General features: G+C 45.1%; 1 protein-coding gene, 1 long non-coding RNA gene and 1 pseudogene across 4 annotated transcripts in view; 1 reads left to right on the forward strand and 2 right to left on the reverse strand.

The window, feature by feature from the left end:
- The window catches only part of OOEP (oocyte expressed protein), a 26609-nt gene continuing 13411 nt past the window's right edge, over positions 1–13198 (reverse strand). Inside the window, exons 1-3 of one of the 3 annotated variants that reach the window (NM_001080507.3) lie at positions 1049–1343; positions 652–831; positions 1–309 (exon numbers count right to left, since the gene is read on the reverse strand). In NM_001080507.3, the coding sequence (NP_001073976.1) occupies positions 230–309; positions 652–831; positions 1049–1238 (450 nt within the window). In that variant the 5' untranslated portion in view covers positions 1239–1343 and the 3' untranslated portion in view covers positions 1–229. Of the gene's footprint in view, positions 310–651; positions 832–1048; positions 1344–13198 lie in introns of those variants that run through there. The other 2 variants (XM_047418829.1, NM_001428256.1) reach the window with 2 other exon arrangements.
- OOEP-AS1 (OOEP antisense RNA 1) overlaps positions 1150–13198 on the forward strand; it is an 18014-nt gene continuing 5965 nt past the window's right edge. Inside the window, exon 1 of the long non-coding RNA NR_174946.1 lies at positions 1150–1531. This is a non-coding gene — a long non-coding RNA (OOEP antisense RNA 1). The remainder of the gene's footprint in view (positions 1532–13198) is intronic.
- Positions 4373–4759, reverse strand: RPL39P3 (ribosomal protein L39 pseudogene 3; annotated as a pseudogene).

Below are 13198 nucleotides of genomic sequence, written 5' to 3' on the forward strand. Positions count from 1 at the left end.
TTTTATAAATTTGCTTTATTATAAGTGTGTGAAGATCTTAATGCTTTTGGCAAAATAGCCATTTCTTTATTAGAATAGTTCAAACTCACTCTTGCAACAAAATAAACCACAATCCATCAAGACACAGGAAAAAGGAATACGGGGATTTAAGAATGCTATACTTGCTTTTCTTCAACTTTAGCAGCAAAAGTTAGAAAGTTAAGATGTTCCCAACAGTAACTATGTTGTCTTAAGCAACAGGATCCTGGGGAGAGTGGGGGTCTGATGCATGGGCCTTCAAGTTCTTCTCAAGGTGTTTCATCTTCTCAGCTGGAAGAGAAGCAGTTGATACTAACCATGGACAGGGACAAGTGTTTGCTGTTTCGAACTACTCCGTGACTGGGAGTTGGGGAGGAGAGAAAGATCTGCGATAGTGCTGTAACCCAGGTGAGGCTGACTTGGGCAGTGATGGGTCTGAATCTATCAGATCTCTGCTGACTTTCCCAAGGTCCTACCCCAGGATCCCCTCCCAACAAACTTCGTACAGCTAGCTCCCTGGGGTCTGGAAACCAAGAAATTTTGAGAAGGTTAAGGGAGGATGGAAGGAAACCGAGCAAGGCCAGTATGGTCACTCGTGGCTTCCTCCACATGCAGGTTCTCAAAGACCCTCACCTCGGGCACGATGTTCTCGGTGAAACCATGCCAGGCACAGGAGCATGCTCTTCACCCGATTCTGTACACGGGGCCGCCCGAAAACGGTGATTTCGACTAGGTTCCCTGAGTCCACTATGTCCACTGTCAGCAGGGCCTGGCTCGTCCACTCCATTTCTGGAATTATGGCTCGGTCTGGGCCTAAACAAGTAAGGAAAAACTCTGAGGGGCTGCACGGTGGCAGGTTAGAAGCTGGATTTGAAGGGAATGTTGGCCAGGGAAGGGAAGAACTGGAAGGTGGGCATCACTGCAACACTCCTGGCTTGCGAATCTGGGAAAGAGACTGTAGAGAGCTGCTCTGCCAAGCCTCTCTCAGACTGGAGGTGGACAGCCCACTAGCACACCTGGGGTCGCTCACCAAAGAGCTCGTCTGCCAGCCATGCCTCTAGGTAGAACACCAAAGGGTCTCTCAGTTCCTGCACCGGAAACCACCAGGGCCGGATGCGAATCTGTGGCGGCGGAAGTGGTAACCTACGCAGCTGCTCCAGGGAGTGGGCCGGAGTCTGTTTGCCCCGCTGGGACTCAGCGGCACCAGCATCATCGACCATACTGGGACCAGCAGCCGCGGAGCGCGCTCGAGGCGGCTTTCGCAAGACCTCTTCCAGACCCAGGCGCGAAGCTCGGGCTCTCTTTTACCATATTCGACCCGCTCCGCCCCTTCCGGCGGCGCCTCGCACCGCGTCGGGGTGAGCGGGTGCAAGCGACGCCCCGGCATAGCGGCACCATTGGACACTTCCTGCGCTGCTTCAATCGCCGGGATTGCCTCTTTGACCTTGAACTAGTATTCATTTGGCCTCCTGTTGGGTCTCCAATGCTCTCCTTCGTCATCTCTGCTCGTAAGGTATGCTTAGCCTGAAAGTCCTCTGCCCACCTTATAGCTGATTAACAGTGTGAGTTTGAATTGACGACTCTATTAATAGACTGGGAATCACCTTTGCTGGCTAGGTTAAGGTTTCATCGTTGCCTCCCAAAGATAGGTATATCGGACCCAGGGCAGGCTTGTTCAATGTGTCAGTTTTCTCTGTTCTGCTCCCTGTTGTTATCTTCTGACTCTCCGGATGGTTACCATTTTTAAATCATTCAAGCAAGTGTGTCATGTTTTAAACAACACGTCAGAGGTGGTCTTATAGAACATGTAGCAAGTTAGACAATTTTCCTTTATTTCCAGTATCCTAAGACAACCATTATCGATGGACATTTTTTCCCAATGTTTGTAATTTTAATTAAAAATTTGGATTATGAAAGGTTTCACACATCCAAAAAAGTAATATAACACGGCCATGTACCCTCCCCGAGTTTAACAGATGTTGACATTTCCCCACATTTGCCTCACTCCTCTGTTTTTAAAACAGATATTACTCAAGCATCTTTCCTTTCCTTCTCCAGAGGAAATCATCCTGAAGCTAGTGTGTATATATCATCCCCATGCATGTCCTTACACATTTTCTACTATATTTGTAGAAATATTGTTTGGTTGTTTCAGAATAGTATCTGCTGAATATACTATTTCGTTCTTACAATTAACTATGTGTTTGTTTTAAAACTTCTATTTTTCTGAGATAGGTCTCACTCTCTTGCCTAGGCTGGAATGCAGTGGCACGATCTCGGTTCACTGAAGCCTCGACCTCCCAGGCCTAAGCGACCCTCCCATCTCAGCCTCCTGAGTAGCTGAGACCACAGGCACCTGCCACCACACCCAGCTATTTTCCAGCTCTTTTTGTTGTTGTTGTTGTTTGTCTGTTTGTAGAGACAGGGTCCCACTATGTTGCCAGGCTGGTTTTGAACTCCTAGGCTCAAGCAGTCCTCTCACTTTGGCCTCCCAAAGTGCTGGGATTACAGGCGTGAGCCACCACAGCCAGCATAGAAGAAAAAACTCAAAATAGTGAAAAGCATGTTCCAGACTCCACATGATCATCTAGGACTGTGTGGAGGTTCCAGTTTTCTGCCCCTGATCCCACCCCCTCTCACCCTCAATGGTTTCTGAGAAAACTTGACTATCAGGTGTGCAGGGCATACTTACAGGAAAACAAGATTTAGCTATGGCTCTGATGCAATAAACATTTAAAACCTTAACCTGGCCAGGCAAGGTGGCTCATGCCTATAATCCCAGCACTTCGGGAGGCCAAGGCAGGAGGATCACTTGAGGTCAGGAGTTTGAGACCAGCCTGACCAACATGGAGAAAACCGGTCTCTACTAAAAATACAAAAATTAGATGGGTGTGGGCCAGACACGGTCACTCATGCCTGTAATCCCAGCACTTTGGGAGGCTGAGGCGGGCAGATCACCTGAGGTCGGGAGTTCGAGACCAGCCTGACCAACATGGAGAAACCTAGTCTGTACTAAAAATACAAAAGATTAGCCGGACATGGTGGTGCATGCCTATAATCCCAGCTACTCAGGAGGCTGAGGCAGGAGAATCACTTGAACCCAGGAGGCGGAGGTTGTCGTGAGCCAAGATCACACCATTGCACTCCAGCCTGGACAACAAGAGCAAAACTCTGTCTCAAAAATAAAAAAAAATAAAAATAAAAAAATTTGGCCAGTGTGTGGTGGTTACCTGCAATCCCAGCTACTCGAAAGGATGAGGCAGGAGAATTGCTTGAACCCCAGAGGCAGAGGTTGCAGTGAGCCAAAATGGCACCACTACACTCCAGCCTGGGCTACAGAGTGAGACTCCATCTCAAAAAACAAACAAAAACCCCTTAACCTAATCAAGGCCAGATATTGTGGCTCGTGCCTGTAATCCCAGCCCTTTAGGAGGTGGAGGCTAGCAGATCGCTTAAGCCAAGGGGTTTGAGGGTGCAGTGAGCCATGATCACACCACTGCACTCCTGCTTGGGTGACAGAGCGAGACCCTAAAAATAAACCTAAAAAAATTAAAGCCTTAATCTAATCATGAGACGCACTTACATTACTGTAGACAAAGAATATTTTACCCAGCATGTATAGAATTTTAACAGCTTCTTTAGGGGGACTGTGGTGATCTGAGCCACACAGGAATAAGTTAACTTCTCTCAAATTCCACTTCCTGGTGTGGAAAAGATGGCACCCCATTATCTTGTGGGGATCTTCTGCCATAAACCCCACATAAATCCCCAGCATGCTGGACACCGTGAAGCAGTTAGTCTCAGATACAACTCAGTCTCAGGTGTAGCCCAACAGTGGCTAGTTCAGTTATTTCTTCCTCAAGGAAGAAATGATCCTGTGGGATTACTGCTCTCCCCTGAGGAAAGAACCTCCCTGCTCAGTGAGAGGCCAGAATCTGATTCGCAAGTGTTGGTTTCGCATCTCTCAGCTTTGGGGAGACCGATAGGCCTTTGCACCTGAGCCTGCCAAAACAGGAGGGCTATTGTGCAAGAAAACCTTTTGGGAGCTCAGTCAGTCACGTGGGCCTCCTTGGAAGCCTGGGGACAAGTGGGCAGTTTTCCCGAGTGCATGGAAGCCAACACCAGAGACTGAGGTGGAGAGATGCACTGAGCCAACTTGGCTGGGTTAATAGAACACTTTTCCCGCCATCTGGGTTAGCTTCTTGGGGTGCCAGGGATCCTGCAGTGGGCCTGACGCCAGCCCGAGATCAAAATGGGAAAGCGGCCAGAGCAAACTGACGTTTCACAGAGCTCTTAAGGGCCGGAAGATTCTTTCTCACCTTCTCTTTTTCTTTCCTTTTTTTTTTTTTTTTTTTTAAAAACGAAAGGCCTCACATATTTATTACTGAATCCAGCCAACCAACGTGTTCATAACAGATTCAGAGAGGAAAACACGTCGAAATCTCCAGATAGTGGTGACATTTTCAGCTTGATATGGTAACATGATCGTGACCTTCAGACAGCATAAATATGTGTGCCATCTCATGTGCAATTCCTTATAGACCCAGCTTGGTTCTTCTCCAATGTCTCCTTTTGGAGTTGTACCTGATTTTATTTCCAGTTTTCATCCGAATCCACTGGGGAATGGGACGATTTTGCTTTTGTTTCTTGGCCAGGAATCGCTTAATCCTGAAAGTCTTGTGAGAAGACATGGCGAGCAGCGGAGTCAAGAACACACCACGATGGCGGAGAAAGGAAGAGGGCTCCTTCTCTTCTTTTGTTTTCTTTTTTGAGACAGGGTCTCACTCTGTCACCCAGGCTAGAGTGCAGTGGCACGATCTCAGCTCACTGGGTAGCTGAGGCAGGTGCATGCCATCACACCCACTGTAGAGACAGAGGTCTCCCTATGTTGCCCAGGCTGGTCTCGAACTCCTGGGCTCAAGCAGTCCTCCTGCCTTGGCCTCCCAAAATGTTGGACTACAGGCATGAGCCACTGCAACTGGCCAGGGCCAGAAGATTTTAAGTATGCAATTATTTTTTATTTATTTATTTATTTAGAGACGGAGTTTTGCTCTTTTGCTCAGGCTGGAGTGCAATGGCGAATCTTGGCTCACTGCAACCTCCGCCTCCTGGGTTCAAGTGATTCTCCTGCCTAGGCCTCCCAAGTAGCTGGGATTACAGGCATGCACCACCACACCCAGCTAATTTTGTATTTTTACTAGAGGTGGAGTTTCACCATGTTGTCCAGGCTGGTCTCGAACTCCTGACCTCAGGTGATCTACCCACCTCGGCCTCCCAAAGTGCTGAGATTATAGCCTTGAGCCACTGCGCTTTGCCAAAAATATATTTTTTAAATATATTTTTAAAATATATATACATGCCTGTAATCCCATCACTGGGAGGCTGAGGCGGGAGGATCACTTGAGCTTAGGAGTTTGAGACCACCCTGGGCAACATAGAGAGGACCTGTCTCTACAAAAAATAAAATAATTAGCTGGTTGTGGTGACATGCGCCTGTAGTCCCAGCTACTCGGGAAGCTGAGGAAGGATAGCCTGAGTGCACAAGGTCGAGGCTGCAGTGAGCTATGATTGCACCACTGCACTCTAGCCTGGGTGACAGAGACCCCATCTCTAAAAAAATAAAATAAAGATAACGTACAATTTTATGTATTTTTTTAATGGAGGAAAGGGGCTCCATTAAAAGTACCTGGAGTCTATGAAAGTCGTAATGCCTGGCTGCCTTCATCCAGTGATGTGGAACCCCAGAGGCCCCAGTATGACTAGGCCCTTTCCAGGACCCACTCCCATGTGTTTGCCCAGCTTTCCACTTCTGTGGTACAGAGCCAATCAGATCTACAGGACCAAAACTTGAAGCCAATCCCAATCCTACCAGCAACAAATGATGATGGTTGCAGAGATGGTAAAGAAGGCTTAGATTCCAGGCCTGCCCCCAGCCCTGAAATTGTAGTCAAACACATACTTCTCCTTTCACCTTACCTTCTCTGTATATTTGCCTGTGTGATCATAGTCTGGAGTTTTTTGTTTTTGTTTTTTGAGATGTGGTTTCACCATATTGTCCAAGCTGGTCTGGAACTCCTAGGCTCCAGCAACCCTCCTGCCTTGGTCTCCCAAAGTGCTGGGATTACGACATGAGCCGTGCCCAGCCTAGCCTGGAGTTTTTACTGGAACTATTAAAATATGTCTCCTAATCGTTGTTTTGATTTACTGATGGGGGAAGGGAGACTGATCTCATACTTAACTATTTATTTACTTATTTATTTATTTATTTTTGAGACAGAGTCTCGCTCTTGTCGCCCAGGCTGGAGTGCAGTGGCGGGATCTTGGCCCACTGCAACCTCCACCTCCCAGGTTCAAGCTATTCTCCTGCCACAGCCTCCTGAGCAGCTGGGATTACAGGCTCCTGCCATCCATTCCCGGCTAATTTTTGTACTTTTAGTAGAGACGGGGTTTCGCCATGTTGGCCAGGCTGGTCTCAAACTCCTGACCTCAGGTGATCCACCCACTTCAGCCTCCCAAAGTGCTGGGATTACAGGCATGAGCCACCACACCCAGCCAACTCTTCTTTTAAAAAACAGACTTTCTTTGCTGACATACTTGAGTAGCTTTGGTTGTATTTAAGGTGAAGCTGAGCTTTCTAACCATTTCTAGAATCCCCTCCAAGGCACCTCTTTACTAAGAGAACTAACCTTTTCCCAGCTGAGAGAACAGAAAGTAAAAATTAGATTAGTGAGCCTAGAGGGATGGCTCAGGCCTGTAATCCCAGCACTGTGGGAGATAGGAGGACTGCCTGAGGCCAGGAGTTGGAGACCAGCCTGGGCAGCATAAGGAGGCCCTGTTTCTACAAAAAAATTAAAAATTAACCCGGTGTGGTGTCTCATGCCTTGTAGTCCCAACTACTCTGGGAGCTGCAGGCAGGAGGATCCCTTTAGTCAAGGAGTCAGAGGCTGCAATGAGCTATGATGGCACCATTGCACTCCAGCCTGGACTCTCTTTTCCTTATATATAAAACATATATATGCTTATATATAATATATATAGCTTATATATTATATACAGTATATATTTATATAAAATTAAGTTTTATATAACTATATCCTGAGAGAAAAGAGAAATCTGCCATCATTTATAGCAGGTTGAGACAGACACAGATAAAACCAGCTGCAAAACTAAATTTCTCCCAAAGACATGCTGCAGCTGTAAATTGTCATAATGATCTCCCTTTTTTTTTTTTTTTTTTGAGATGGAGTCTCACTCTGTTGCATAGGCTGGAGTGCAGTGGCACGATCTCTGTTCACTGCAACCTCTGCCTCCCAGGTTCAAGTGATTCTCCTGCCTCAGCCTCCCGAGTAGCTGGGATTACAGGCACCCGCCACCACGGCCAGGTGAATTTTTGTAAAGACGGGGTTTTACCATGTTGGCCAGGCCGGTCTCGAACTCTTGACCTCAAGTAATCCACCCACCTCAGCCTCCAAAAGTGTTGTGATTACAGGTGTGAGCCACCGCACCCAGCCGATCTCCCATTTTTGAATGACTATTATGTTCTTACTCAGTGAGAAACATTATTCTCTAAAATTACAGACTATCAGAAAATGTACTATTTAAATTTATTTATCAGTAACAATGAAACATCCATTCTTGCCTGGAGGATCTAAGTCACTTTATTTATTTTTTAATTTTGTTTTTCTTTTTTCGTTTGTTTTTCTAAGTCACTTTGATACAGAGAAACAGCCTTAATTGACAACTCAGTCGCAGCTGTTTTGGACAAGGGGTTGTTTTTTTTTTTTTTTTTTTTTTTTTTTTGAATACAACATTCCACATCTATCTCAATTAAGGACCCTGGGTTCACTTCACTGTCAAGATCTGATGCTGATCCTTATACATACAGCCCAACGAAACATGATTTTATTTATTTATTTATTTATTTGAGACGGAGTCTGTTGCTCAGGCTGGAGTGCAATGGCAAGATCTCAGCTTACTGCAACCTCCACCTCCCGAGTTCAAGCAATTCTCCTGCCTCAGCCTCCAGAGTAGCTGGGATTACAGGCGCCCACCACCAAGCCTGGCTGATTTTTGTGGTTTTTGTTTGTTTGTTTGTTTGAGATGGAGTCTCACTCTGTCACCCAGGCTGGAGTGCACTGGTGCGATCTCGGCTCACCGCAACCTCCACCTCCCAGGTTCAAGCGATTCTCCTGCCTCAGCCTCCCAAGTAGCTGGGATTACTGGTGCCTGCCACCATGCCTGGCTAATTTTTGTATTTTTAGTAGAGAAGAGGTTTCACCATTTTGGCCAGGCTGGTCTCGAACTCCTGACCTCAGGTGATCCACCCGCTTTGGCCTCCCAAAGTGCTGAGATTACAGGCGTGAGCCACTGCACCCAGCCCATGATTTTATTTCTCTCTTCCTCTCTTCCCTAAAATTGTAAAAAAATTTATTGTTGGTGAGATGCCCTATGGTTCTTTGGCTACATCCTTATATAATTGTGTTTTACCATTAGACTTCCATTTTCTTTCATTGTGCCATTGCCAGTTAACACAATTAGCTAGACATATGTGGTCTTATTACCATGGGAGAGAGAAACTGACTACAATCTTAAGCCAGCCTTGGTGTAAACTTTAAAGGCACATCCAAGGAAGTTTCTAGAGCTGTTCTATTTGCTGAAAATATAATCCTGTGAAAACTGTAAAGATGAGACACAAACTGGAGCCAAAACCTCAAGACCCCTTTTAAATGTAGGCAGCATGTTTTGCTTCAGCTGAGAGAGAACTATAGGGCTCTGCTCACAAAGCAATAGGGGTGAGTAGTTTCTGGGACGGCTTTATTATCTGCCTCAGGAGTAGATAAACAACCTGCTCATGCATGCAAGTCACCACACCTCGAACTTTCTCAAGTTCTCGTGAATATACCATTTCTACTTTATGAGTGAACTGTGCTATGCAACTTCCTCTCTACTCAAATGTTTCTCTGATATCACCCAAGATGTGATAGGTATTTGTGGCCTCAAAATTAACTCATGTAAGTGAGTTTGTTGGGTCTGGTTTTGAACAACATACTGTAAAAAGCCAGCAATATTTTTATGTATTTATTTATATTTACTTGTATTGATTCATTCATTCATTGACAGAGTCTTACTCTGTCACCTAGACGGGAGTGCAGTGGCATAATCACAGCTCACTGTAGCCTCGACCGTCTGGACTCAAGCAATTCTCCTGCCTCAGTCTCCTGAGGAGCTGGAACTACAGGTGAGTGCAACCACACCTAGCTAATATTTTTTAAAATTATGTTTTGTAGAAACAAGTTCTTGCTATGTTGCCAAGGTTGGTCTTGAACTCTTGGCCGCAAGCGAGCCTTCTACCTTGGCCTTCCTGAAGTGCTAGGATTATGGGTGTGAGCCACCACCGCACCTACAACCTATAGCTGTACCAGGCAGCTTTCAAGTTAAAAACCTGAGTTTTCACCAAGTAACCCTATTTAATTTATGCCAAATGCTCCAGCCTGCATATATTATTGTTACAAATTCTTCTTCTTCTTCTATTTTTTTTTCTTTTTTTTGAGATAGTATCTCACTCTGACACCCAGATTGGAGTGCAGTGGCATGATCTTGGCTCACCACAACCTCCACTTCCAGGGCTCAAGCGATCCTCCCACCTCAGCCTCTAGAGTAGCTGGGATGACAGGTGTGTGCACCATGCCCAGCTAATGTTTTTGTATTTTGTTGTAAAGATGGGGTTTCTTCATGTTGGCCAGGCTGGTCTTGAACTCCTGAGCTCGAGCAATCCACCCACCTCAGCCTCCCAAAATGCTGGGATTATAGGCCTGAGCCACTGGGCCGAGCTACAAACTCTAAGATCATCTGAGCCAGCAGTTCTCAAATGTTTGGGTCCCCCTGCTCTTAAAAATCATTGAGGCCAGGCATGGTGGCTCATGCCTGATCACACCACTGTACTCCAGCCAAGGTGACAGAATGAAACTCCAACTCAGAAAGAAAATCTATATATATATGTTGAGTACCAGCAGGGCGCAGTGGCTCAGGCCTGTAATCCCAGCACTTTGGGTGGCCAAGGCAAGTGGATCCCTTGAGGTCAGGAGTTTGAGACCAGCCTGGCCAACATGATGAAACCCCATCTCTACTAAAAAATCCAAAAATTAGCCGAGCGTGGTGACATATGCCTGTGGTCCCAGCTACTTGGGAGGCTGAGGTAGGAGAATTGCTTGAGCCCAGGAGGTGGAGTTTAAAGTGGGCCGAGATTTCACCACTGCACTCCAGCCAGCCTGGGCAACAGAGCCAGATACTGTCTCCAGAAAAAAAAAAAAAATTATTGATTACCCTAAAGAGCTTTTGTTTTGTAAGGTATAGATACTGATATTTACTATATTAGAAATTCAAACTTTGAGAAACCTAATTCAATGACTATAACTCACGTTAACATGGATAACCTTTTAATGAAAAATGATTATGATTATGATTATTATTTTTTGAGACAGGGTCTCTGTCACCCAGGCTGGAGTGCAGTGGCATGATCTCGGCTCACTGCAACCTCTACCTCCAGGGTTCAAGCAATTATCCTGCCTCAGCCTCCTGAGTAGCTGGGATTACAGGCGTGCGCCACCACGTCCAGCTAATTTTTATGCTTTTGTAGAGACAGGGTTTCACCATGTTGTCCAGGCTGGTCTCAAACTCCTGGGCTCAAGCAATCCTCCTGCCTCAGCCTCCCAAAGTGCTAGGATTATAGGTGTGAGCCACCATGCCTGGCCTGAAAAATAATTTGTTTCTCAAAACAAATTCAGTGGCCTGGCCAGGCATGGTGGCTCACGCCTGTAATCCCAGCACTTTGGAGGCCAAGGCGGGTGGATCACTTGAGGTTAGAAGTTTGAGACCAACCTGGCCAACATGGTGAAACCTAGTCTCTACTAAAAATACAAAATTAGCCGGGCATGGTAGTGTGCACCTGTAATCCCAGTTAGGAGGCTGAGGCAGGAGAATCGCTTGAACCCAGGAGGTGGAGGTTGCAGTGAGTCAAGATTGTGCCACTGCACTCCACTCTGGGCAACAGAGTGAGACTCTATCTCAAAAAAAAAAAAAAAAAAAAAAAGTGGCCTTATTTTACATGTTTGTAAATCTGTTTAATGTCTGGCCTAATAGACAACAGCTGGTTTCTCATATCTTTTTTTGTTTTTTAATGGTTTTTAAAAATTGAGACAGGGTTTTGCTATGTTGCCCAACCTGGTCTTAAACTCCAGAGCTCTGAGCTCAAGCAGTCTGCCCACTTCCAACTCTGAAAGTGCTGGGATTACAGGCATCAGCCACCATGCCCAGCCTCATATCCTATTCCAAATTAAATCTGTTGCAATATGTTGTTTTGACTGAAGAAAATCCAGCCTCACACAGATATTTAGATAATTGTGGACACTATTCTTTCTACTATACCAACACTCAGCAAACGGTAGCTTCTTACACTTTGAATGGCTTTTTTATTCGTGCATGATTTTGTAACATCACTCATTAGTCGTTAGGAAAATATTGGTTTATTGAAATATTTAATTTTCCAAATACTGACTCATTTCATTATACAGTATAATAAAAAATCACATTGATTAGTACCACCACCAATCTCATCAGAAAAATGTAATAATTGGGAAGGTGTCAAGACAGTGGTGATACAAGTTTTCCAAAATTCTTTTTTTTTTTTTTTTTTTGAGACAGGGTCTCGCTCTGTTGCCCAGGCTGGAGTGTGGTGGTGCAATCTCCACTCACTGCAACCTCTGTCTCCTGGGCTTAAGCGATTCTCTCATCTCAGCCTCCTGAGCAGTTATTGAAATGCACCAATAACAATGCTAATGAGTGTTCATAGTAGTGTTTTTCAACATGGAAATAAACAGAAATGACCAAATGTCTATCTATAATAGAATGGATAAATTGCGGCAGATCCATACAATGAAATGTTATATACCATTGAAAATTAATAAACTACTCCCAACATGAGTGAGCTAAAAGACACTATAGGATTCCATTTATATAAAGTTCAGAAAGTAAGCAAGTTTGATGTGGGTGGTTGTTACATCACTATTACTTTGAAATTTTCTTGAGCGTCACACTTAATGATTTATATAATTTTTAGTAAGCAGATTAAACTTTGAGTTGTTTTTTGTTTTTAAAGAGGACTTTAGAGATCTAGACACCAAATATGATTAGTCTCAACAGATTGTGATTTATCTACACATTAGAAACTATATGGTAGAGAGGCTAGAGAAGATGAAGTAAGTTGAGTCACATTTGGATGTTGATTAATACAATCAAGGCCAGGCACAGTGGCTCACGCTTGTAATCCCAGCACTTTGGGAGGTCTAGGCGGGTGAATCACTTGGGGTTAGGAGTTCGAGACCAGCCTGGCCAACGTGACTAAACCCTATCTCTACTAAAAATAATAATAATAAAAAAATTTAGCTAGGCGTGGTGGCGGGCACCTGTAATCCCAGCTCCTTTGGAGGCTGAGGCAGGAGAATTGCTTGAACCCAGGAGGTGGAGGTTGCAGTGGACCAAGATTGCACCATTGCACTCCAGCCTGGACAACAAGAGTGAAACTCCATTTCAAAAAGAAGAAAAAGTCAAAAAGATGAAACAAAACAAAAAAGTGTTAAAAAAAAAAAAAAAAAAAAAAAGAAGAAGAAAAAGAAGAAGATGGAGTAAGTTCCAGAACATAAAAATAGCAGTGAATGAGAAGGGAGGTGGATAGGCCCAAGTTCACTCACAAGATTTGGAATTCAGGCTACTTGGATTTCAGGCTGAGTCTTTGAGGTATGCCTTCAGGCACCAGAGAGCTTCACTCTGGATACCTAGAGTAGCCCGGAGGAAGAGCTGAAGGCCAAGACCATATGTTGGCAAATCTCAAAATTGAAAGCTAGTTGAAGAAAAGGTGTTTTAGGTGGGGAAGGAAAGGTTGAGAAAGTTAGTCCTCACTTTGCCAAAAACTGCAGTGTTCCAGTAAAGCAGGAACAGACACTACTTTGCATAGGACTAAAGGTAAGCATGGGCTGAGGAATTCAGGATGGCCAGTACACTCTTCTTGGTAGCCTGAATGTCCAGGGAAAGAGGTGGGCCGGCGTGGGGGGACAATTAATATAAAAAACCAGGCTGGGCGCGGTGGCTCACACCTGTAATCCTAGCACTTTGGAAGGCTGAGGTG

The sequence above is a fragment of the Homo sapiens genome, chromosome 6 (genome assembly GCF_000001405.40).
Source record: "Homo sapiens chromosome 6, GRCh38.p14 Primary Assembly".
NCBI classification, from domain to species: domain Eukaryota; kingdom Metazoa; phylum Chordata; class Mammalia; order Primates; family Hominidae; genus Homo; species Homo sapiens.